Source organism: Homo sapiens, chromosome 6 (genome assembly GCF_000001405.40).
Source record: "Homo sapiens chromosome 6, GRCh38.p14 Primary Assembly".
NCBI lineage: Eukaryota > Metazoa > Chordata > Mammalia > Primates > Hominidae > Homo > Homo sapiens.
This window is the reverse complement of record NC_000006.12, coordinates 107,091,543-107,115,700: the sequence shown is the minus strand read 5'-3', so window position 1 is coordinate 107,115,700 and position 24,158 is coordinate 107,091,543. Positions and strand designations below refer to the sequence as shown.

The window sequence follows — 24,158 nt, the reverse complement described above, 5'->3', positions numbered from 1 at the left end:
AAAAAGTAGAAAAAGCCGTTTGGGGCCAAACTCTCGGGTCTGAGAAACCACGTTTCCGAGGACGAACTCGCGGTGGGAGGACACATGGGGTACAGGGGACATTGTTCGCGGCGCCTGCCCGGCGCGCCGTGGGTGCGCGGCCGCCGCCCCCGCCCCGGGCAGCCAGCGCGGGCCCACGTGGAGCCACTGCGCTGGCCGAGCGCGCCGGGCCGCCTGGGTCCCGGGAGTGCGCGCCCGAGCTCCCCGCCGCGGCCGTTCACGCCCGAGCGCCGCCGCCGCCGGTCCCGCGTGTGCCCCGCTGAGGGGGAGGGGCGGGCCGGGGGTGGGGGCGGAGGGGTTGTGGTTCCACTGCAGCGGGGGCTCCTGTGTCCTTGTGCGGAAATGACACACGGAGTCCCGTCACGTCACGCGAGAGCGCAGCGCACGGACACACACAAAGAGAGGGGAAAATACACGGCGCTCGCCCGCCCGCCGCCCCCAGCGCCTCCCCGGGCCGCCCTGGCCAGGCCCTCCGCGCGCGGCCCCCACTCCCCGGCCCCGCGCCCTCCCCCCCACGTGGCGCCCAAACTCGGCGCGGGCCCGCCCGGCAAAGTACAGAACTCGCGTCCCAGGTAAGTGCGGGGCGGATCAAGCCGGCCGCGCGGCGGCGGCAGCGTTGGCGGCTCCGGGGCGAGCGGCCGGTAGAGTGGCTGCAACATCCATGCCGGGGTGGGGGCGGGAGCAGGGGAGGGGACGCGGAGGGGGGCTGCTCCGAGCGCGCCCGCCGGTAGTAGCGCCCACCCCCGCGCGGGCCGAGCGACCGGAGCGGGCGCCGGGCGCCCACGGGCTCGCCGCGCCCATTGTGCTGCGCGCCCCTTTGTGCCCGCTCGGAACGCGGCGGCTCCATGGCGTTCTGGGGAGCACGCGCGCCGCGCGGGGGCGGGGGGTTCGCGCGGTGGAACCGTCCGCGCCGCCGCCGCCGCCCGCCCCACTCGCGCCGCGCGCCGGCCCCGCACCCCCGCCGGGCGCCGCGATGGAGCGGCCGGGGCGGCCGGAAGGCTCTGCCGTACTCGCGGCGGCTTGGCGCTCGCGCTCGGCGGGGCTTTGGCGGGGCACTGCTCGGCGTGTGGAAGGGGGTGTCGGAGCGGGAGCAGGGGGCGGGGACTGGAGGGAGATGCCGGGCGGCGAGCGGGAGGCCGGGGGAGCAGCCGCTCGGAGGAACGAAGCCTCCGGAGGCTGCAAATGGAGCGAGGCCGGCCCGCGGCGGCGGCGGCCGGGAGCGGAGAGGGATGGGCCCCGCCGCCAGGGGGCGCAGCGCTCCCTTCCCGGCCGTTCCACGGCGGTTCGCGGTTCCCGCTGCCCAGGAGCTGGAGGCGGGCCCGGCGCCTTGGGTGTGCACCCGGGCTGGCGCGAGGCCTGGCCGGCCGGCCGCAAAGCTGAAGCCTGGGGCGCTCGCCGCTCCTCGTGAGCGCTCCTTTCCTTCTCTATGATAAACGTGATTTCCCACGCATGCTTTGCCCTTGCCTCATCCGTGAGCTGTGCACCACCGATTTGGAGGCCCTTGTGTGCTTGTTTACCTACGTCTCCCTATGTAGCTATTTTAAACAAGGTGTTTTTACAGAGATAAAAGTTTTATTGATTGCTCAGGTGGTCTTTCTGGAAGAATTCTGCACGTAAACGCTAACTCGACAAGAGTGCCGGGAGGAACAAGGTTACTCACTAGAGTTGGAAATGTGCAGTTCATCTCCTTAAAGTAACTTTTGAATGGTTGAATACAAATAGTAAACATGCCACAGGGCAGCGTGGCATAGTGCCAGAAAGCTACGGTTGCAGGAAACTGAGGTAAGGAACTGAGTCCTTCAGGTAGCCAGGTATATAAACGGCTGGGATGGAGGACTTTCTCTTGTTACCCGCTCCCCACTTCCACCCTTGCAGTCCGTTTTTCTCTCTTTTTTTTTTAAACCATTCATCCCTAGATATTGGCTTTATACTACCATACAAGAGCCTGTCAAGCTTTCCTCGGTACTGGGACTTGGGCAAGATTTTTTATCTCCCTCACAGTTTCACATCCCCAGCCTCTAACCCGGTGTCTCATAACTTAGTAGGCGTTCAGTGCGTATTTCCTAAATGAATGGAGAGAGCCTCTTGGATTCTAGAGGAAAGATGGAGCCAGAGCGCCAGTTGCTGCTGCTGGGTTAGCTGGTGTCTGTGTGGCCCTTGAAATCTGTCACATCAACCTCCTGTCATGGAACATGAGTTTTTTTTTTGTTTTTTTTTTTTTTTTGAGACGGAGTCTCGCTCTGTCACCCGGGCTGGAGTGCAGTGGCTTGATCTCTGCTCACTGCAACGTCTGCCTCCCGGGTTCAAGCGATTTTCCTGCCTCAGCCTCACGGAGTAGCTGGGATTACAGTCCATGTGCCACCATGCCTTGCTAATGTTTGTATTTGTAGTAGAGACGGAGTTTCACCATGTTGCCCAGGCTGGTTTCCGGACCTCAGGTGATCTGCCTGCCTGGCCTCCCAAAGTGTTGGGATCACAGGCATGAGCCACCGTGCTTTTTTTTTTTAGACAGAGTCTCGCTCTATCACCAGGCTGTAGTGCAGTGGCGTGATCTCTTCTCGCTGCAACTTCCGCCTCCCAGGTTCAAGGGATTTTCCTGCCACAGCCTCCCGAGTAGCTGGGACTACAGGCGCGTGCCACCACTCCCGGCTAATTTTTTGTATTTTTAATAGAGACGGGCTTTCACCGTGTTAGCCAGGATGGTCTCAATCTCCTGACCTCATGATCCGCTCACCTTGGCCTCCCAAAATGTTGGGATTACAGGCGTGAGCCACCGCGCCCAGCCTTTCTTTTTTTTTTTTTTTTCTTGAGACAGAGTTTTGCTCTTGTTGCCCAGGCTGGATTGCAATGGTCTGATCTTGGCTCACCGCAACCTCTGCCTCCTGGGTTCAAGTGATTCTCCTGCCTCAGCCTCCCAAGTAACTGGGATTATAGGCGCGCGCCACCATGCCCGGCTAGTTTTGTATTTTTAGTAGAGAGGGGATTTCTGCATGTTGGTCAGGCTGGTCTCGAACTCCCGACCTCAGGTCATTCGCCAGCTTCGGCCTCCCAAAGTGCTGGGATTACAGACGTGTACCACCACGCCCAGCGTTTTTTTTTGTTGTTGTTGATACCAGAGATGCCATCTTCTTGCTGAAGAACTAATATAATGGGAAAGTTTTATGTGATTCCGCCTACCTTCTCCATGCCCAGCAAGACGATAGGCTGGTTAGGAACTGGCAGATGAGACAGTCAGCATCCCAACAATCTATTAACAGGTGCCATATTGACACATTTTCTTTACATCCTCTCCCTGTGGGTTCTTTCTTGGCTCCTAAGCACCCCTGTGTGAGCAGAAGCATAGCAGAATGTCCAATAATTACAAAGAGAAAAATTGGAGTGAGCCCTGACACAGGTTTGATTAGGTGAAAATGTAATATCCTATATTAATGTCTCACCTGCTACTTTTTAGCGCTGCCTAGAAAGTCCCTGGAAACAATGAGAAGGAAAACAGCATGTTTATATGAATTGTATTGACACCATGATGAAAAGTTTAAAGACCTCAAATTGTATAATGTAGAAGCATAGAGTATGAAGGTCGCTAGCCAACCAGCAAAAATGATTTGGTGTTTGTATATGGGAGGCTGGGATGTAGTGTTTTTTTCCTGGTGCTTAATTTTTTTTTTTTTTTTTTTTTTTTTGAAACGGAGTCTCACTCTGGTGCCCAGGCTGGAGTGCAGTGGCGCGATCTCGGCCCACTGCAACATCCATCTCCTGGGTTCAAGTGATTCTCCTGCCTCAGCCTCCCAAGTAACTGGGATTACAGGTGCGTGGCACCACACCCATCTAATTTTTGTATTTTTAGTAGAGATGGGGTTTCACCTTATTGGCCAGGTTGGTCTTGAACTCCTGACCTCAAGTGATCCACCGGCCTCAGCCTCCCAAAGTGTTAGGATTACAGGTGTAAGCCATCGCGCCTGGCCTGGTGCTTAATTTTGGTGTTAAGTGATAGGTTTTGGTTGCTAACCTAATTGTATTGTTCCCATCATTGGCTAAGGTAAGCTTGGGGAATTAATTGTAGAATTACTCTTTGGAATGGGAAACCTATTCTGTATCTTTTTAGGGGTGTTTATAGGGATGTGTATGTGTTATCTCTCTCTTTTTTTTTTTCTGAGATGCAGTCTCACTCTGTCACCCAGGCTAGAATGCAGTGGCACAATCTCGGCTCAGTGCATCCTACGCCTCCTGGGTTCAAGTGATTCTCCTGCCTCACCCTCCCGAGTAACTGGGATCACAGGCATGCACTACCATACCCGGCTAATTTTTGTATTTTTAGTAGAGACGGGGTTTCACCATGTTGGCCAGGCTGGTCTCAAACTCCTGACCTTAGGTGATCTGCCCACCTCGGCCTCCCGAAGTGCTGAGATTACAGGCGTGAGCCACCACGCCTAGCCTACATGTGTTATCTTTCATAGAATGATACACTCCTAGAGAGTCAATTTTACTCTGGGAATTTTTGAGACAGGGTCTTTCTCTTTCACCCAACCTGGAGTGCAGTGGCACAGTCTAGGCCCATTGCAACCACTGACTCCCGGGCTCAAGCGATCCTCCCACCTCAGCCTCTCAAGTAGCTGGGCCTACAAGTATGCGCCACCACACCTGGCTAATTTTTTATATTTTTAGTAGATACGGGGTTTCACCATGTTGGCCAGGCTGGTCTCGAACTCCTGAGCTCAAGTGATCTACTTGTGTCGGCCTCCCAAAGTGCTGGGATTGCAGGTGTGAGCCACTGCCTGACCGGGATAAATTTTTAAAATGAAACTTAAATGACTGGGTGCAGTGGCTCACACCTGTAGTCCCAGCATTTTGGGAGGCCGAGGTGGGTGGATCACCTGAAGCCAGGAGTTGCAGACCAGCCTGGCCAACATCGCGAAACCTCGTATCTACTAAAAATACAAAAATTAGCCAGGTATGGTGGTGGGTAATCCCAGCTACTCGGGAGGCTGAAGCGGGAGAATCGCTTGAACCTGGGAGGAGGAGGCTGCAGTGAGCCAAGATCGTGCCACACTGCACTCCAGCCTGGGTGACAGAGCAAGACTCTGTCTCAAAAAGAAAAAGAAAGTCACACACAAAAAAATGTGCTAAAAACTGATTTTTTTGGTGCTTTGTATCACCTTGCTCTGACAGTCTCTTTCCTTCTCCAAATTTGATAATGCTCTTCTTCTGCTTCTGATACGTCAGTATTTCTTGCAACATCATTGTTTCAACCCAGAGCTCTTGTGGTTTCTGGGATTAGCTGCCACAAGTTCCCCACACATGTCAAACTAAGAGCTCTCCATGCCAGTATCAGCCCTCAGAGTGTTAAACAGGAGAGGGGCTGTTTTAAGAGTGGCAGTGAATGCTTGGCATGTTAGTCTGTGAATTTTGTATGAAAACCACTTTTACAAACTATTGTTTTAGAGCTGAAGTTTTCTCAGCAGGTCACCTGATACCATGCTCTCCCTCCAGTTTTTGTAAGACAGAGTCTGGCTGTGTTGACCAGGTTGATCTTGAACTCCTAGGCTCAAGCAATGCTTCCGCCTGAGCCTCTTGAGTAGCTGGGACTATGGGTGCACACCACTGTGCCCAGCTTCCTTTTTTTTTTTTTTTTTTGAGTCAGGGTCTCACTCTGTCACCCAGGATGGAGTGCAGTGGCACGATCACAGCTCACTGCAGCTTCAACCTCCTGGGCTCAAACGATCCTCCCACTTCAGCCTCCCAGGTGGCTGGAACTACAGGCCTGTGCCACCATGCCTGGCTGATTTTTTTGAGACGGAGTTTTGCCCTTGTTGCCCAGGCTGGAGTGCAATGGCATGATCCCGGCTCACTGCAACCACCGCCTCCCAGGTTCAAGCAATTCTCCTGCCTCAGCCTCCTGAGTAGCTGGGATTTCAGGTGTCCGCCACTACGCCTGGCTAATTTTTGTATTTTTAGTAGAGACGCGGTTTCTCCATGTTTGCCAGGCTGGTCTCGAACTCCTGACTGCAAGTGATCCGTCCGCCTCAGCCTCCCAAAGTGCTGGGGCTACAGGCGTGAGCGACCGTGCCGGCAATTTTTTTGTATTTTTTATAGAGATGGGGATTCACTGTATTGCCCAGGCTGGTCTCAAACTCCTGGAGTCAAGTGTTCCAACCTGTCTTTGGCTGAGATTACAGGTGTAAGCCACTATGCCTGCCCCACCTCGATTTTTTTTTTTTTTTTGAGACAGAGTCTTGCTCTGTCACCCAGGCTGGAGTGCAACGGCACTATCTCAGCTCATTGGACCCTCCATCTCCCAGGTTCAAGGATTCTCTTGCCTCAGCCTCCTAAATAGCTGGGATTACAGGCCCGTGCCACCATACCCAGCTAATTTTTGTATTTTTAGTAGAGACGGGGTTTTGTCATGTTGGCCAGGCTGGTCTCTCAACCTCAGGTGATCTTCCCACCTCGGCCTCCCAAAGTGATGGGATTACAGGCATGAGCCACCACGCCCAGACCGCCCCCCGCCCCCACCAATTTTTAATCCAAGTTGAAACGTGTATTTAAAGTCAGCCCTCTTGGCTGGATGTGGTGGCTCATACCTGTAATCCCAGCACCTTAGGAGGCTGAGGCGGGTGGATCTCTTGAGGCCAGGAGTTCGAGACCAGCCTGGCCAACATGGCCAAACCCCATCTCTAGTGAAAAATACAAAAATTAGCCAGGTGTGGTGGCACATGACTGTTGTCCCAGCTACTCGGGAGGCTGAGACAGGAGAATTGCTTGAACGCGGGATGCAGAGTTGCAGAGAGCCGAGGTCGCACCACTGCACTCCATCCTGGGCAACAGAGCGAGACTCCATCTCAAATCAATCAATCAATCAACCCTCTTAATTTTTTTTCTACCTGTGGCCACCTCTCCTCTTGTCTGATTTTCAGTTATTTCTGACTAGTGAAACACAGTTGCATCAGTATCAGGGCATTGATTGCTCAATTGAATAAGTCATTTACTGGCCTTTTCTTGTATGTCAGGGGCTGTTTTGGTTTGAGCATGGAGCTAGCAGAGCGAAGGACTGAGGCTTGCTTAGGATTGGGGGTGCAGTATACACCCAACTGCCCCGAACCCTAATCAGCTTGTGTGGTCACAAAATAAAACACTTGATAAAATGGGAAGTGCAGCGGAAACTCAGCTTATACCTCCTAGGAAAATTAGTCACCGTTGTGCAGTCAGTCACATGGCTGGATGCTGGAATGTGCGGTCCCTCCTTCCACCTTGAGCCTCAGCTTCTGCATGCCAAGGTTAATACGCAGAGTCTCCTGTGAGCCATGTGAGGAGGTAGCCCTCCACGAGGTTGGGGAGAACGTAAGTGGAACTTCTTAGCTGAGGAAGATGGCACATTTACTCAAGACTCAGAAGACGCAAGTGACCAAAGATTAAGACGCCAAATCACAGGCGCGCGGGCAGGGTTGTGCGGCTGTGCTTGGCTGCATGCGGAAGATGAGGTTGTGCTCTGACTGAATAAGGAAGGCAGCTACAATTACAGCTTTAGAAAAACTCTGGGGAAAATTGCCCTGGTTTTGTGAGGACTGGTATTTTTCAAACTGCATTTGCAGATGTGCCTAAAAATAAAAACAAATTGCGAACATGTCCTGCAAGTCCCTTGGGCAGGATGCCACTGCCAAGGGGGCTGGGTCCTGAGACCCTTGAGGCTCCCAGCCGGTCCTGTGAACCCAGAGACCCGCGGCACCAGAGTGGATGGCATGGGAACATTCCTCCTGTCCTCAGGGAGAGCATTTTATTTGGTTTCATCCCCCTCCCTCCAGTTTCTATGTTTCATTGGAAAGAAAAGTTACTAAACCTTTTTAATCTTTTAAGCCATTTTATTTAATTTGCAGTTCTTAAAAATTCACTATTAAAATGTACTTTAGGCTGGGCGGGATGGCTCACACCTGTAATCCCAGAACTTTGGGAGGCCAAGGCAGGTGGAACTTTGAAGCCAGGAGTTCAAGGCCATCCTGGCCAACATGGTAAAACCCCGTCTCTACTGAAAATACAGAAATTAATCAGGCATGGTGGTGCCCACCTGTAATCCCAGCTGCTTGGGAGGCTGAGGCAGGAGAATCGCTTGAACCCAGGAGGCAAAGGTTGCAGTGAGCCAAGATTGTGCCACTGCACTCCAGCCTGGGCGACAGAATGAGACTTTGTCTCAAAAAAATAAAAAAATAAAATGCACTTTAAACATCTTTTCCTTAAAAAAAAAAAAAGAAGCTTTATAATAGGTAACTTTGAGTGCTATGTGTCAGACACTTTCTCCTTTGTAGTTTTCACAAAAACTTTTTGAGGTGAGGTAGATGTGTCCAGCTCCTATTACAGAATACAGCTTGGATGGGTAGGTAAACAGCTGGCCTGGTGTTAGATGCTAAATATTTTAACTCGGTTAAAAACCTTTTTGGGCTGGGTGCAGTGGCTCATACCTGTAATCTCAGCACTTTGGGAGGCCGAGGCGGGTGGATCAGCTGAGGTCAGGAGTTCCAGACCAGCTGGGCCAACATGGTGAAACTCTGTCTCTACTAAAAATACAAAAATTAGCCGGATGTGGTGGTGCATGCCTGTAATCCCAGATACTTGGGAGGCTGGGGCAGGAGTATCACTTGAACCCGGGAGGCAGAGGTTGCAGTGAGCCGAAATTGTGCCACTGCACTCCAGTCTGGGCGACAGAGCGAGACTCCGTCTCAAAAAAAAAAAAAAAAAAGCCCTCTTTGAAAACTGGGCTGGGTTAAGGGTCAGGTGTGGTGGCTTGCATCTGAAATCCCAGCACTTTGGGAGGCTGAGGCCGGAGGGTTGCTGGAAGCCCGGAGTTTGAGACCATTTTGGGCAACACCTGGAGACCCTGTCTCTACAAAAAATAAAAAATTAGCTGGGTGTGGTGGCGTGCACCTATAGTCCTAGCTACTCACAGGCTGAGATGGGAGAATCATCTGAGCCCAGGAGTTCAAGGCTACAGTGAGCTCTGATCATACTGCTGCACTCTGCCTGGGTAACAGAGCAAGACCCCCATCTCTGGGGAAAAAAAAAATGAAAAAACTGGATTAAAAGCCAGGGTTTCATGCAGTTCCATCTGACTCCAAAGTTTAGTAAAGAATTCCATTTTTTGGAGGGTCACCTGCACTAATTCCTGCCTTGGTCACAGACTGGCCCATCTGGCTTGTTGACTTGCTCATGCACCTGCACCCAGCTCACAGCTTAGCAGGAAGAGGGAAAGAAAGCTGGGAGGTCATGGCCCATTCCTCAGTCCCAGCTTCCTTGGAAGGCTGGAATGAAGCTCTCATGCCGGGAGTCTCCTGAAGTCCTTCCTACTCCCTGGTCTCAGCTGCATCCCTTGGGCAGCACAAATCACCCCACCCCCGCCCCGTTCCCTATCTGCACAAGAAGCAGTGCTGGTGGGGACTGTGTGGGTTGACATATGTAACACTTAGAACATGAAGCCTGTGCCACATGAATACTAACTACTGTCCCCCTCTTCTAGGTTTAATTTTTAGAAGTCAATGTCACCTGTAGCAGAGAAGTTCCTTGAAATCAAATCAGACATATGGCAATTGTGAAAAGATTGAAGTAAGGTTTAGGTCTTGGTTAAATTTTTAAAATCCTTGAGTTTGTTTTGTTAATGACTGAGCATATTCTCTCCACTTTACCTTTTGTGTGTGGCAGGGGCCACACAGCCACCATCCCTATTGTTTCAGGTTCCAATCACATTCCTGTTCTGGGGCCCACATTCTCAAGGGAATCTTCTGGTAGTGAGAGTTTGCTTCAGTTTGCATCTGGAAACAGCTCTTAGGGGTAAGGGGGATTTGCCCCTGAGTGGCATGAGGTCAGGGCTGCTGGGGCCAGGTCTTCCTGGACTGGCACCTCAGCACAGTGGCGAGGACATCTCTGATCTAGCAGGGTAAAATCCGGAGTCAGCTGGCTGGAATTTGAACCTCCAGGTTGCAGGAAGCCCAAGTACTTCCCATTTCTGGGCCTGCCGCTTGTCCTGTGTGACTCCCCGGCCCACAGGCCTCTGGCAGCTCTGATTAGGCTCACGCTGCTGTCCCAAAAGACCTGGTCTGTCTGCTCTCTCCACAGCAACTGACTATTCAAAGAACTTGATAGAAAGGTACCCCGGGCCACTCCCAGCCGCCTATGGGTTCACTAGAGAATGTCCTTTTGGAAATCTATGGGCTGGACAGGGAAAAGGCCAGTGATCCTGATCAACCGCCCCCTGCTTAGAAGACCATGTCATCTCCCATCCCAGTTCTTTTTTTTTTTTTTTTTCTTTTTTGAGACAGAGTCTTTCTCTGTCTCCCAGACTGGAGTGCAGTGGCGCGATCTCGGCTCACTGCAACCTCTGTCTCCCAGGTTCAAGCGATTCTCCTGCCTCAGCCTCCGGAGTAGCTGGGACTACAGGTGGGTGCCTCCACGCCCAGCTAATTTTTGTATTTTTAGTAGAGATGGGGTTTCACCACGTTGGCCAGGATGGGCTCCATCTCTTGACCTCGTGATCCACCTGGCTTGGCCTCCCAAAATGCTGGGATTACGGGTGTGAGCCACTGCGCCCAGCCAACAGTGGACTTTTTAACCAAATATCCTTTCATGCTTGCTGATTTTTGTTCTGTGTGCATGTACAGTCAGCCCCGCCACATCTGCAGGTTCATCCAACTGCAGGTAGAAAATATTCCAGAAGCTGGAGCTGGACACAGTGGCTCACACCTCTAATCCCAGCACTTTGGGAGGTCGAGGTGGGTGGATTGCTTGAGCCCCAGAGTTTGAGACCAGCTTGGGCAACGTAGGGAGGCCCGTCTCTACAAAATAAAAAACTAGCTGTATGTGGTGGCGCATGCCTGTGGTCCCAGCTGCTTGGGAGGCTGAGGTGGGAGGATGGCTTGAGTCCAGGAGGTTAAGGCTGCAGTAAGACACGATCATACCACTGCACTGCAGCCTGGGTGACAGAACCCATCTTAAAAAAAAAAAAAATCCAAAAGAAAAACCAGTAAAAAATTACACCACGAAAAAACTATACACTATAACCACTATTTATATACCACTTACATTGTATTATTATAAGTAATCTGGAGGTGATTTAAAGTATACAGGAGGATGTACACAGGTTACATGCAAATATTATGCTATTTTTTATCAGGGACTTGAACATCTGTGGATTTGGGTGTCACTGGGAGTCTTGGAACCAACCCCCTGAGGATACTAAGGCATGACTATATTACCTGGTAAAAAATGGGGAAAAGCCACATTATGTATCTTCCCTCTTAAAATGAACACTAAAAAGATGAAGTGTCCTGTAGTGTGTAACTCTTTCCAGCCTATCTCTTTGTGATGTGGTTCTTCCTTTTTTTTTTTTTTTTTTTGAGACGGAGTCTCGCTCTGTCGCCCAGGCTGGAGTGCAGTGGCGCGATCTCGGCTCACTGCAGGCTCTGCCTCCTGGGTTCATGCCATTCTCCTGCCTCAGCCTCCCGAGTAGCTGGGACTATGGGCGCCCGCCACCACGCCTGGCTAATTTTTTTTTGTATTTTTTTTAGTAGAGATGGGGTTTCACCGTGTTAGCCAGGATGGTCTCCATCTCCTGACCTCGTGATCTGCCCGCCTCCAAAGTGCTGGGGTTACAGGTGTGAGCTACCACGCCCGGCCTTCTCTTTTTTCTTTGTTTTTTCTTTCTTTCTTTCTTTCTTTCTTTCTTTTTTTTTTTTTTGAGACGGAGTTTCGCTCTTGTTGCCTAGCCTGGCGTTGAATGGCGCGATCTCGGCTCCTCACAACCTCCGCCTCCCGGATTCAAGCGATTCTCCTGCCTCAGCCTCCTGAGTAGCTGGGATTACAGGCACGCGCCACCATGCCCAGCTAATTTTGTATTTTTAGTAGAGATGGGGTTTCTGCATGTTGGTCAGGCTGGTCTCCAACTCCCATCCTCAGGTGATCCGCCCGCCTTGGCCTCCCAAAGTCCTGGGATTACAGGCGTGTGCCACCGTGCCTGGCCTCTTTTTTCTTTTTCTTTTTTCCTAGGCTTAGCTCAGCTGTCTGAGGGACATAGAACAGACATCCCTTGGGGAGAAAGTTGATTTTGGGGAACGTGTGGATGTGTTGACTGTCCCATAATTTGAGGTTTATGGTGGGAGGCATGAGAACATTTTGAAAATGAGAGAATGTCAGAATGAGAAGTTCTCCAGAGTCCAGGAGGCAAAGGGAATGCTCACAGCAGCCTTTAGGAGGTGGGTGCTGTGGTGGTTGGGTAGTTGTGGCAGCGCCTACGTAGCCTATAGTCAGGTAGGCGAGAGGAATGTCTGTGGCATGCTAGGCATCTGGGTGCTGGGTGTCCACCCAGGAGGAGCAGAGCTTGTGACCCTCATCTGGGCAGGTGACCAGGAAATGGAGGTAGCAGTGTGCTCCCCATCCCCTTTCTGCCCAGCTGTGACATTGTTGGTGTGCTGTCCCTGCGCCAGCTGGGGATGCAGGGAGTGGCCTACACATCTCTCTTGTAGAAGCTTTTCTGTATTGTGGGGTGGAGTCTGTTTCTACGCACGGAGCAGACTGACTTTCCAGAGTGCTAATGGAGGCAGAAGGAGATGTGGTTTCCTGGTGCTGTTGGACAGAGGGACTCAAATTTGGAAACAGGCCCATGGTTCATCAGAAGAAGCTTAACAAAAGAATGAAGACTCTATTATTTCCTCCCTGGCTGGCTGAGGGAAGGCACAGAAAGACTCGATTTGAAGCCAGGTTCTGCCACTCAGTGATGTGACACTGGAGGAGTTACCTGTCCTGGGTTTCTCTATTTGTTGAAATTGGAACTAAAATAGCTCAGGGTGAGGCACAGGCACACATGCAGTGGCCAGCCCAGTGCCTGGTGTGAAGTTGGTGGGCTGCAGATGTTACAGGGGATGCTCACCTCACTCCCCACTGCGCAAGCCAGGGGCAGGCGCGAGGTTTCCAGGCCTTGCAAATGGGAGATTCCCCAGCTTCTTAATGAGTGAAGCTGATTTGCTGGCCCGGAGGGAAGGGGCCCACCATGCTGTGTTCTGGGCTACTTCTGGGCTAACCTAGCATCTGTCACTAGTCTATAAATGGACACGGAAGTGTTTTCCAAAGCACAAGCACTCGGTGTCTTGAATGCCCAGGCAGCCGCACCAGCACCCCTTCCTCCCACCTCAGCTGCATGAGCCCTCTGGGGTTTCTGCCCACTGCAGGTGGCTGAGATGTGTGCTCTTCCTTCATCACTTTATAGGGGCTCAAAATTCAGAGGCCAAATTGCCTGCTGTAGGGTCACATGGTGGTGGTTCAGAAAATAGCCTCCTTCCAACCCCACTGGAAACAAGGAAAAATAAAAAATCAGAAAATAGGTTTTCTGCTCACCAAGCCACATTCCCGGCAGGCTCCATGTGGCAGCCTGGACTCCAGCCCTGCACTGCTCCCTATGTGATGGGCCTGCCAGAGACACATGGTTGGGCGAATATAATGGCAGATAAATAGACTGCCCTTCTCACCACCCATGGCCCTGTCTGCTGTGTTCTCTCATCGACGCCTGTTTTGTTTTGTTCTAGTATTTGCCCATCCTTTTAGTGCTTTCCACTTACCAGAATCTTTGACTCTTTGCAATTTTTCTTTCACCATGACCCTTTTCCTCCCCAAATAAACCAACCGCTGTCTCCTCCCTCTCTGCCTTTTCTCTGCCAAATGTAATTTGTTTTGTAAAGTATGTCCGCCTCTGACAGCCATCGTTTTGCCCCATCTGTTCTGCATCTCAGAACTCCCCTTGATTGGCAGGAATGGGTTATGTGACCATGGCAGTTTCCAAGGGCAGGGGCATTCAGGTGACCTGCAGTGTGTTTCCTTGAGAGGCCTCCTACCAGGCTGGGAATCCGGTCTTGAATTTCTGCCTGGCATTGTCCAGCCCTTCTAGCCACTCAGAGACACCCAGCTCAGATGATGGCGATCCAAAGTGAGGTGTAGTTCCTTGAAATACAGTGGAAGGAGTTGCTAAAATTTGACTCTGGTAAAATAGTTCTCGGACCCTTGAAGTTGACTTATTATTTGTTTTCTGTCAATATCACCCTGTGTGTAATGTTTTTTCAGGTAGGAGATGGCTTGGTGAGTAGGAATTATTTTCAGTTTCAAATCTCATTTTGGTTTTCATTCCTCTGAAAATTAGCAATACAGGGATGAAAAGAATTGTGCCTGTCTTGCACTATTGTGCACTGTTCTTGAACTAAAAATAGTGCTTCACATCATAAGCACTGTATGTGTTGCCATTATTAGTAACCTTTGCAGTGATGATTGTGCTCATGGATCACCCAGACACACTCTCCCTCTTGCTGCCATCCCCACCCCATTCACCTGTCTAAAACAGGTACTGTATGTCAAACACACACCATTCTGTGGCTACTCCTTGAATGGTTCACTGAACATTTTAGATGGCTTCATGCTTACAGAGTTTCTTTCTTTTTTTTTGAGACAGAGTCTCACTCTGTCACCCAGGCTGGGGTATAGTGGTGTGATCTTGGCTCACTGCAACCTCTGCCTCCCGGGTTCAAGCAGTTCTCCTGCCTCAGTCTCCCAAGTAGCTGGGACTATAGGCGTGTGCCACCATGCCCAGCTAATTTTTGTATTTTTAGTACAGATGGGGTTTCACCATGTTGGCCAGGCTGGTGTTGAACTTCTGACCCCAGGTGATTCGCCCACCCCAGCCTCCCAAAGTGCTGGGATTACAGGCACGAGCCACCATTCCCGGCCAGAAATTTCTTAAGAGATACTTCTTGGTCCTGCTCTCCACTCATCCTCAACCAAAATGAGAACTCTGTGTTTGTAGTCAGCTTAATCAGTTGTGGGGATCACAACTCCCAAGTGTCAACATTAAAGATTGCAATGTATATTCTCCAAATGTTACTACCTTTGTATCTTGTACTATTTATGTACATGCTGTCATGGTATTCGGAGATATCAGAGACTTAGTGGTAATTTTGTTTGTTTTGTTTTAGTGGTGCTTTGCCTCATGGTGTCAGTTCCATTCCAGCTGAGGCAGGCAGGTTTTGCTTCAGACCCTGCAGCCTGGAACAGAGCACTGCCCACCTTTCTAATGAAGCTTAGGCTGGGCACAATGGCTCACACCTCTAATCCCAGCACTTTGGGAGGCTGAGGTGGGCGGATCATGAGGTCAGGAGATCGAGACCATCCTGGCTAACACGATGAAACCCTGTCTCTACTAAAAATACAAAAAATTAGCCGGGAGTGGTGGCTTATGCCTGTAGTCCCAGCTACTCGGGAGGCAGAGGCAGGAGAATCACTTGGAGGCAGAGGCAGGAGAATCACTTGAACCCAGGAGGCGGAGGTTGCAGTGAGCCAAGATTGCGCCACTGCACTCCAGCCTGGTGACAAAGCAAGATTCCGTTTCATAAACAAATAAATGAAATAAAGTATTGTATTTAGCCCAGTAAGTCCAAAATATTATCATTTCAACATGTAATCAATATAAAGCAATTATTAGGACTGGGCACTGTGGCTCAGATGTGTAATCCCAGCACTTTGGGAGGCCAAGGTGGAAGGATCGCTTGAGGAGTTCAAGAGCAGCCTGGTCAACATAGTGAAACCGCATCTCTACAAAAAAATTTTTTAATTAGCTGTGGGTGGCGGCATGTGGTACCTGTAGTCCTAGCCATTCTAGAGGCTGAGGCAGGAGGATTGCTAGAGCCCAGGAATCAGAGGCTGCAATGAGCCATGATAGTGCTACTGTACTCCAGCCAGGGTGAAAAGAGTGAGACCTTTCCTCTAAAAAAAAAAAAATTACTAGTGAGATATTTTGCATTTCTGTTACTAAGTCTGAGATTTGGTGTGTATTTTACACTTATAGCACATCTCCATTGGACTAGCCACATTTTGAGTCCTTGGTAGCCAGGTGTGGCTAGTAGCCACCTTCAGGTCATGGGCAGCACAGTTCTCTTGACAACCGTAAGTCCTAAGATTTCAGGATCCATGGCCCCCATCCTTCAGCCTATTTGTTTTGTGGCTGGAATTTATAAGCATGGACTTAAAAGAGATAATTAAAATTGGGGTCTTTTTTAAGAGTTGATTTGTTCTTGTAATGTTCCCATGGCTCAGTAAGTGGCTATCAGTGGATGCTGTAAGACACATTCTGCTCACATAAAGTCTTGGAGAAGAGCTCCCAGCAGGGATGCACAAGGCCTGGCTGCTCCTGAGTGTCTGCAGACAAGATTAGGAGGACACATAGCTTCCACAGTGCTGTGCTGCTCTGTTACCTAGAGCTGGGGTTGGGAGGGTAAGAGGATTTTCTGTGGGTAGAGAAAATTAAGAAATAAATCAAGCAATAAGTCAACACATTGTCTTTGTCTTTTTATTTAGCGGAATAGAAGATGAACTCAACTGAATTCACCGAAGATGTAGAAGAAGGTAAAAAAAAAATGCCCTTTTTGAAAAATGTTTTTAACTGAATACTTTTGATCAGGTCATACATTCACATGGTCCAAAAATATACAAAGTTATATAGTGAAAAGTCCCCTCCACCCACACACTTGTTCCCCGGTTCCCATCCCCCTCCACCCACACACTTGTTATAAGCACCTTGTGTCACTTTTTAAAAATTACTTTTTTAAAGCACAAAAAGATAATATTTTATGTCTCTCCTTCCACTGTCTTCCCCCCCAAAAAAAGATGTTTAAACCAATTTGAACTAAATGCTCTTGGAACATGGCTTTATTGTACAGCACTAGTGCGGTGAGATAAAGATTGCATCGTTGGAAAGCTCAGGTTTGTTACAACTAGACATCATTATCTCAGCACTGGTGTCAAAGGGCGGCCCACAGACACCCTGCTGCTCAGAGAACCCTGCTGATCTCTGAGCAGCCCTGGTTTTTCCCACTGAGCCCTATTTCTTCTCTGACACAGTTCTAAAAAGTATCACTGTGAAAGTGGAGACAGAGGCTGAAGATGCTGCTCTGGACTGCTCCGTGAATTCCAGGACTTCTGAGAAGCACTCTGTGGACAGCGTCCTCACTGCCCTGCAGGACTCCAGCAAACGAAAGCAGCTGGTCAGCGATGGCCTGCTAGACTCTGTCCCCGGCGTGAAGAGGAGGCGGCTGATCCCCGAGGTGAGGGCCTAGCTGCTGTCACTCTTTGCTTGGGCTCTAACCCTCTCTGATTCCATGCTGAATCTCCCTCTTGTTTTGGGCATCCTGGCAACTGCTGAACCCTTGGGCATGGGAAGGTTTCATTTAAGCTATCCCATCTCTGGCTTCAGTTTCTCGAAAGTGTCTGTCTTTAACTGGAATTCTTGTTTGTGTTGGGATTCCTGGTGGGTAAAGGGAGCCTTCACATTGCAGCTGCTTTTGCGTTATTTTGCTGTGCTTTGTGGGGGAAAGCAGGAGCTTGCTGATAGTGAGGACGGTTAACGTAAGCCTACCACACTTGACATAGTAGCTGATTCTTGCAAAAGTGGGGCATTAGCTGGAGGTCAGGTCTTTTCCTAAATTAAATCTATCATTCACTTATTTAAATAGAGACTGGATCTCACTATGTTGCCCAGGCTGGTCTTGAACTCCTGGCCTCAAGTGATCCTCCTGACTTGGCCTCCCAAAGTGCTGGGATTACAGGCGTGAGCCATAGTGCACAGCCAACTCTTTGTTTAATTGGTTTGTTTTAACTCTCCCCTGTTGGATGTTAGGGCAGATCCAAACAAATTAGGAAGTTATACATTTTAGGGATTTGGTTAGGCTTTAATTTGCATAATGATGAGACTAAGATTTTAACCAAGATTTAAATATACATGTTTATAGTGAGGACCTACATTCCACATCATGGAACACTGAGTGATAGGTTTGTTGGGGTTTTTTTTTTTTTTTTTTTTTTTTTGAGACGGAGTTTTGCTGTTCTTGCCCAGGCTGGAGTGCAGTGGCGCAATCTCAGCTCACAGCAACCTCTGCCTCCTAGGTTCAAGCGATTCTCCTACCTCAGCCTCCCGAGAAGCTGAGATTACAGGCATGCGCCACCATGCCCAGCTAATTTTGTATTTTTAGTAGATACAGGGTTTCTCCATGTTGGCCAAGCTGGTCTTGAACTCCCGACCTCAGGTGATCTGCCTGCCTTGGCCTCCCAAAGTGCTGGGATTACAGGTGTGAGCCACTGTGCCTGGCCATGAGTGATACTTTTATTTACTATTTTATTTATTCAGGGTTTTTTTTTTCTAACTCTTTATTCTGGTCTGAATGGCTTTTCTTTTTTAAACAACTTGTTTCTCTAATTTATTTGGGCTTTAATTTTTTTTTTTTCATCTTTGAGACAGAGTTTCACTCTTGTTGCCCAGGCTGGAGTGCAATGGCGCGATCTTGGCTTACCGCAACCTCCGCCTCCTGGGTTCAAGCAATTCTCCTGCCTCAGCCTCCCGAGTAGCTGGGATTATAAGCGTGTGCCACCACGCCCGGCTAATTTTTGTATTTTTAGTAGAGACAGGGTTTCTTCATGTTGGTCAGGCTGGTCTCAATCTCCTGACCTCAGGTGATCCGCCTGCCTCAGCCTCCCAAAGTGTTCGGATTACAGGTGTGAGCCACTGCATCAGGCCCAAAACAACTTTATTAAGATATAATTCACATACTATACCTTTCACCAATTTAAGTTATATAATTTAATGTTTTTGTTTGTTTGTTTGTTTGTTTTTGTCTGAGACAGGGTCTCGCTCTGTCGCCCAGGCTGGAATGCAGTGGCGCAATCTCAGCTCACTGCAACATCTGCAGTGTTGGTCCAGGCTGGTCTCAAACTCCAGACCTCAAGTGGTCTGCCTGTCTTGGCCTCCCAAAGTGCTGGGATTACAAGCATGAGTCACCGCGCTCAGCCCTAGTTTAATGGTTTTTAGTATATTCCCAGAGTTATGCTATTTTAGGACATTTTTATAACCTTACAAAGAGTCCCTGCCCATTAGCAGTAGCTCCTCATTCCCTACTTTTCCAGCTACTGACAATCACTAATGTACTTTCTAAGGATTTGCCTATTGTGGGCATTTCATTTTTATTTTTAATTGATTGATTGATTGATGGATGGATGGAGTCTCGCTGTGTGGCCCAGGCTTGGAGTGCAGTGTCATGAGCTCAGCTCACTGCAGCCTCTGTCTCCTTGTTCAAGCGATTCTCCTGCCTCATCCTCCCGAGTAGCTGGGATTACAGGTGGGCACCACCACGCCTGGCTAATTTTTGTATTTTTAGTAGAGACAGGGTTTCACTATGTTGGCCAGGCTGGTCTCAAACTCCTGACCTCACGTAATTCACTCGCCTCGGCCTTCCAGATTGCTGGGATTACAGGCGTGAGTCACTATGCCCGGCCAATTCTAGGCATTTCATGTAATGTAATCATATGTTCTATGGCCATATGTGTCTGGCTTCTTAGCATAATGTTTTCAAGGTTCATCATCTATGTATCAGTACTTCATTTCTTTTTGTTTTAACAGACTTTATTTTATAGAGCAGTTTTAGGTTTACAGAAAAATTGAGCAAAAGAGACAGATTTCCCATATACTTCCTTACCCCTGCATGTTTATAACCTCCCCCATTGTCAACATTGTATACCAGATTGATGCATTTATTACAACTGATGATCCCCCATTGACACATTATTGCCCAAAGTCAGTAGTTTACATTAGGGCTCACTCTTGCTATTGTATAGTCTGTGGGTTTGGACAAATGTATATACCATTTGTAGTATCATACAGAGTAGTTTTGCTGTCCTAAAAATCTGTTATGCTCTATCTGTTCATCCTTCACTCCCACATAACCCCCAGCAACCACTGATCTCTTTACCATCTCCATACTTTTATCTTTTCCAGAATGTCGTGAAGTTGGAATCATACAATGTGTAGCCTTTTTAGATTGGTTTATTATACTTAGCAATATGCATTTGAGTTTCCTCCATGTCTTTTCATGGCTTAATAGCTCATTTTCTTTTAGCACTGAATCATATTCTATTGCCCAGATGTACCAGAGTTTATTTATTCATTTACCTACTAAAGGACATCTTGGATGCTTCCAAGTTTTGGCAATTATGAATAATGCTGCTATAAACATCCATGTATAGGTTTTCATGTGGACATAAGTTTTCAGCTCCTTTGGATAAACACCGAGGAGTGTGATTATGTTTAGTTTGGTAAAAAACTACCAAACTGCCTTCCAAAGTGGCTGGACCATTTTACAGTCCCACTAACAAGTTCCTCTTGCTCCACATCCTTGAAAGCATTTGCTGTTGTCAGTGTTCGGATTTTGACCATTCTAATAGGTATGTGGTAGTATCTTGGTTTTTTTCTTTGTTTAGTTTAAAAAAAATTTTTTTTTTGCAGAGATGAAGGTGGTCTCACTATGTTGCCCAGGCTATTCTTGACCTCCTGGCCTCAAGCGATCCTCTTGCCTCAGCCTCCCAAAGTGTTGGGATTACAGGCATGAGCCACTGTGCCCAGCAGTTGTGTTTTTGTTTATGTTATTGTTGTTGTTTGAGACAGGTTCTCTCTGTTGCCAGGGTGGAGTGCAAAAGCAGTGGCACAGCTAGGTGTGGTGGTTTAACACCTGTAATCCTTGCATCTTGGGAGGCTGAGGCAGGTGGATTGCTTGAGTCCAGGAGTTCCAGATCAGCCTGGGCAATATGGCAAAACCTTGTCTCTACAAAAAATACAAAAAAATTATCCAGGCGTGGTGGCACACACCTGTAGTCCCAGCTACTCGGGAGGCTGCGGTGGGAGGATCGCCTGAGCCTGGGAGGTCGGGGCTGCCGTGAACCATGGTTGTGTCACTGCACTCCAGTCTGGGTGACAGAGTGAGACCCTGTCTCAAAAAAAAAAAAAAAAAAAAGGCAGTGACATAGTCAGCTCACTGTAATCTCAAACTCCTGGGCTCAAGGGATCCTCCTCTTTCAGACTCCCAAGTAGCTGGGACTACAGGCATGGCAGCACCATGCCTGGCTAACTTTTAAAGTTTTTGTAGAGATGGAGTTTGTTGTTCGTTTTATTTATTTATTTATTTATTTATTTATTTATTTATTTATTTATGAGATGGAGTTTTGCTCTTGTTGCCCAGGCTGAAGTGCAATGGCGCGATCTCAGCTCACTACAACCTCTGCCTGCTGGGTTCAAGCGATTCTCCTGCCTCAGCCTCCCGAGTAGCTGGAATTACAGGCACGCACCACCACGCCCAGCTAATTTTGTATTTTAAGCAGAGACGGGGTTTCTCTATGTTGGTCAGGCTGGTCTTGAACTCCCAACCTCAGGTGATCCACCCCCCTCAGCCTCCAAAGTGCTGGGATTACAGGCATGAGCCACCACGCCCGGCTGTTGTTCTCTTAATTTGTGCTTCCCTGACAACATATGATGTGGAGAATCTTTTTATATGCTTATTTGCCAGCAGTATAGCTTTTTTGGTGAAGTGGCTATTAAGATTTTTGGCCCGTTTTAATTTTTATTTTATAGAGATAGCATCTTGCTATGTTGCCCAGGCTGGTCTCGAGCTCCTCGGCTCAAGTAACCCTTTGGCCTGAAGCCTTCGAAAGTGCCGGGATTACAGGCTTGAGCCACCACACCTGGCTGGCCCATTTTAAAATTGGGTTTTGTTTTTATTGTTGAATTTTAAGAGTTCTTCATATATTTTGATTAACAGTCCTGTATTTTGATTAATAGTCCTTTATCAGGTATGTCTTTTGCAAATATTTTCTCCCAGCCTGTGGCTTGCCTTTCATTCTTTTGACAGTATCTTGTAGAGCAGAAATGTTTACTTTTAATGAAGTCCACTTTATTAATTCTTTCATAGACTGTGGCTTTGGTATCATATCTAAAAAGTTACTGCCAAACCCAAGGTCATCTATGTTTTCTCTGATGTTATCTTCTAGGTGTTTTATAGTTTTTCATTTTACATTTAGGTTTGTGATCCCTTTTGAGTTGATTTTTGTAAAGGGTGTAAGGACTATGTCTAGATTGACATATTTGCATGTGGATGTCCAGTTTGGTCCAGTAAAATATGTTGAAAAGACTGTGTTCCATCGTATTGCTTCCGTTGACTGTCTTTATGCAGTTCTGCTTCTGGGCTATTCTGTTCTATTGATCTATTTGTTTATTCTTGCCCCAGTACCACCCTGTCTTGATTACTGTAGCTTTATGGTAAATGTTGCAGTCAGGTAGTATCAGTCTTAACTGTGTTCTTTTCTTTTTTTTTTTTTTGAGACGGAGTCTCGCTCTGTCGCCCAGGCTGGAGTGCAGTGGCGCGATCTTGGCTCACTGCAAGCTCCGCCTCCCGGGTTCACACCATTCTCCTGCCTCAGCCTCCTGAGTAGCTGGGACTACAGGCACCCACCACCACGCCCGGCTAATTTTTTTGTATTTTTAGTAGAGACGGGGTTTCACCGTATTAGCCAGGATGGTCTCGATCTCCTGGCTTCATGATCCGCCCTCCTCAGCCTCCCAAAGTGCTGGGATTACAGGCAACTGTGTTCTTTTCTTTCACTATTGTGTTGGCTATTCTGGGCTTTTGTCTGTCCATATAAATTTTAGAATTAGTTTATTGATATCAGCAAAATAGCTTGCTGGGATTTTGATTGGGATCATACTGAATCTATAGGTCAAAGTGGGAAGAACTGACATCTCGAAAATACTGAGTCTGCCTCTTTATGAGCATGGAATGTCTCTCCATTTATTTAATTTTTAAATTACTTTCATCAGTTTTGTACTTTCCCTCATATACATCTTGTATACATATGTATTTTGTTAGGTTTATAACTTAAGTATTTCATGTTTTTGGAGTCCTGATATAAATGGTATTGTGTTTTTAATTTTAAATTCTACTTGTTTATTGCTGGTGTATAGGAAATAAAATTGACTTTTGTATAGTAACCTTGTATACTACAACCTTCCTATAATTGCTTTATTAGTTCCAGTTGTTTTTTGGATTCTTTTGGATGTTCTACATAGACAATCATGTCATGTGCAAAGAAAGACAGTTTTATTTTTTCCTTCGCGATAGTATACCTTTTATTTCATTTTCTTTTCTTATTGCATTACCTAAGACCTTCAGTACAATATTGAAAAGGAATGAGGAGAGGGAGACATCCTTGCTTTGTGCCTGATCTTCATGGGAAACCTTCTGATTTCTCACCATTAAGTACAATGTTAGCTGTGGGATTTTTGTAGGTGTTCTTTTTCAAGTTGAGAAAGTTTCCCTCTAGTCCTAATTTACTGAGAGTTTTTGTTATGAATGGTGTGGGATTTTGTGAAGTGCTTTTTCTGCATTTATTGACATGATCATGTGATTTTTCTTCTTTACCCTGTTGCTGTGGTGGATTTCATTAACTGATTTTTAAATGATGAACCCCTTTGCATGTCTAGGATAAATCTAAGTTGGTCATGGTGTATAAAATCTTTTTTTTTTTTGAGACAGAGTCTCACTATCTCCTAGGCGGGAGTGCAGTGGTGTGATCTCGGCTTACTGCAAGCTCCGCCTCCCGGGTTCAAGCAATTCTCCTGCCTCAGCCTCCCGAGTAGCTGAGACTACAGGCACCTGCCACTACACCCGGCTAATGTTTCCTATTTTAGTAGAGATGGGGTTTCACCATGTTGCCCAGGCTGGTCCCCAACTCCTGAGCTCAGGCAGTCCGCCCACCTCTGCCTCCCAAAGTGCTAGGATTACAGGCGTGAGCCACCATGCCTGGCCTCAGTTTTTTTTAATGTGAGGCTGGCCACGTGGGAGACAGAATTACGACTCAAATCAGTCTCCTGCTAATGTTTTATTGAGGGTTTTTCATCTGTGTTCATGAGAAATATTGGTCTGTAGCTTTTTTTCTTGTAATGTCTTTGTCTGGTTTTGGTATTAAGGTAATGCTGGCCTCATAGAATGAGTTAGGAAGTAGTTTCTCTACTTCTGTTTTCTGAGACTGTAGAGAAATTGTATCATTTTTCCCTTAAATGTTTGGTAAAATTCACCTTTGAACCCATTTGGGCCTGGTACTTTGTGTTTTGGAAGGCTATTAGTTACTGATTCAATTTCTTTAATAGATATAGCCCTATTTGGAATGTCTCTTCTTCCATGAGTTCTAGAAGATTGTGTCTTTTAAGGAATTAGTCTCTTTCCTCTAGGTTATCAAAT

General features: G+C 48.1%; 1 protein-coding gene across 4 annotated transcripts in view, besides 5 other annotated features; it reads left to right on the top strand.

Moving 5' to 3' along the window:
• The first annotated feature begins 185 nt into the window (after positions 1 to 185).
• Positions 186 to 24,158, top strand: part of BEND3 (BEN domain containing 3) — a 50,334-nt gene continuing 26,361 nt past the window's right edge. The window contains exons 1-4 of one of the 4 annotated variants that reach the window (XM_011536005.4): positions 186 to 611; positions 9,539 to 9,624; positions 16,405 to 16,452; positions 16,948 to 17,150. In XM_011536005.4, the coding sequence (XP_011534307.1) occupies positions 16,416 to 16,452; positions 16,948 to 17,150 (240 nt within the window). In that variant the 5' untranslated portion in view covers positions 186 to 611; positions 9,539 to 9,624; positions 16,405 to 16,415. Of the gene's footprint in view, positions 612 to 1,268; positions 1,822 to 9,538; positions 9,625 to 16,404; positions 16,453 to 16,947; positions 17,151 to 24,158 lie in introns of those variants that run through there. The other 3 variants (NM_001080450.3, NM_001367314.1, XM_005267080.5) reach the window with 3 other exon arrangements.
• Positions 293 to 342: a silencer, noted in NCBI's record as "silent region_17439". NCBI's record gives its function as "represses an Ori minimal core promoter by ATAC-STARR-seq in GM12878 lymphoblastoid cells {active_cell/tissue: GM12878}" and the evidence as "EXISTENCE:reporter gene assay evidence [ECO:0000049][PMID:35858748]".
• Positions 383 to 432: a silencer, noted in NCBI's record as "silent region_17438". NCBI's record gives its function as "represses an Ori minimal core promoter by ATAC-STARR-seq in GM12878 lymphoblastoid cells {active_cell/tissue: GM12878}" and the evidence as "EXISTENCE:reporter gene assay evidence [ECO:0000049][PMID:35858748]".
• Positions 563 to 1,472: a silencer, noted in NCBI's record as "silent region_17437". NCBI's record gives its function as "represses an Ori minimal core promoter by ATAC-STARR-seq in GM12878 lymphoblastoid cells {active_cell/tissue: GM12878}" and the evidence as "EXISTENCE:reporter gene assay evidence [ECO:0000049][PMID:35858748]".
• Positions 9,567 to 10,222: an enhancer, noted in NCBI's record as "OCT4-NANOG-H3K27ac-H3K4me1 hESC enhancer chr6:107426683-107427338 (GRCh37/hg19 assembly coordinates)". NCBI's record gives its function as "activates a minimal SCP1, AML or CMV promoter by ChIP-STARR-seq in naive H9 embryonic stem cells {active_cell/tissue: H9 hESC(naive)}" and the evidence as "EXISTENCE:reporter gene assay evidence [ECO:0000049][PMID:30033119]".
• Positions 22,312 to 22,495: a silencer, noted in NCBI's record as "fragment chr6:107414410-107414593 (GRCh37/hg19 assembly coordinates)". NCBI's record gives its function as "represses an EF-1alpha promoter that drives an FKBP-Casp9 reporter gene in an ReSE screen in HepG2 liver carcinoma cells {active_cell/tissue: HepG2}" and the evidence as "EXISTENCE:reporter gene assay evidence [ECO:0000049][PMID:32094911]".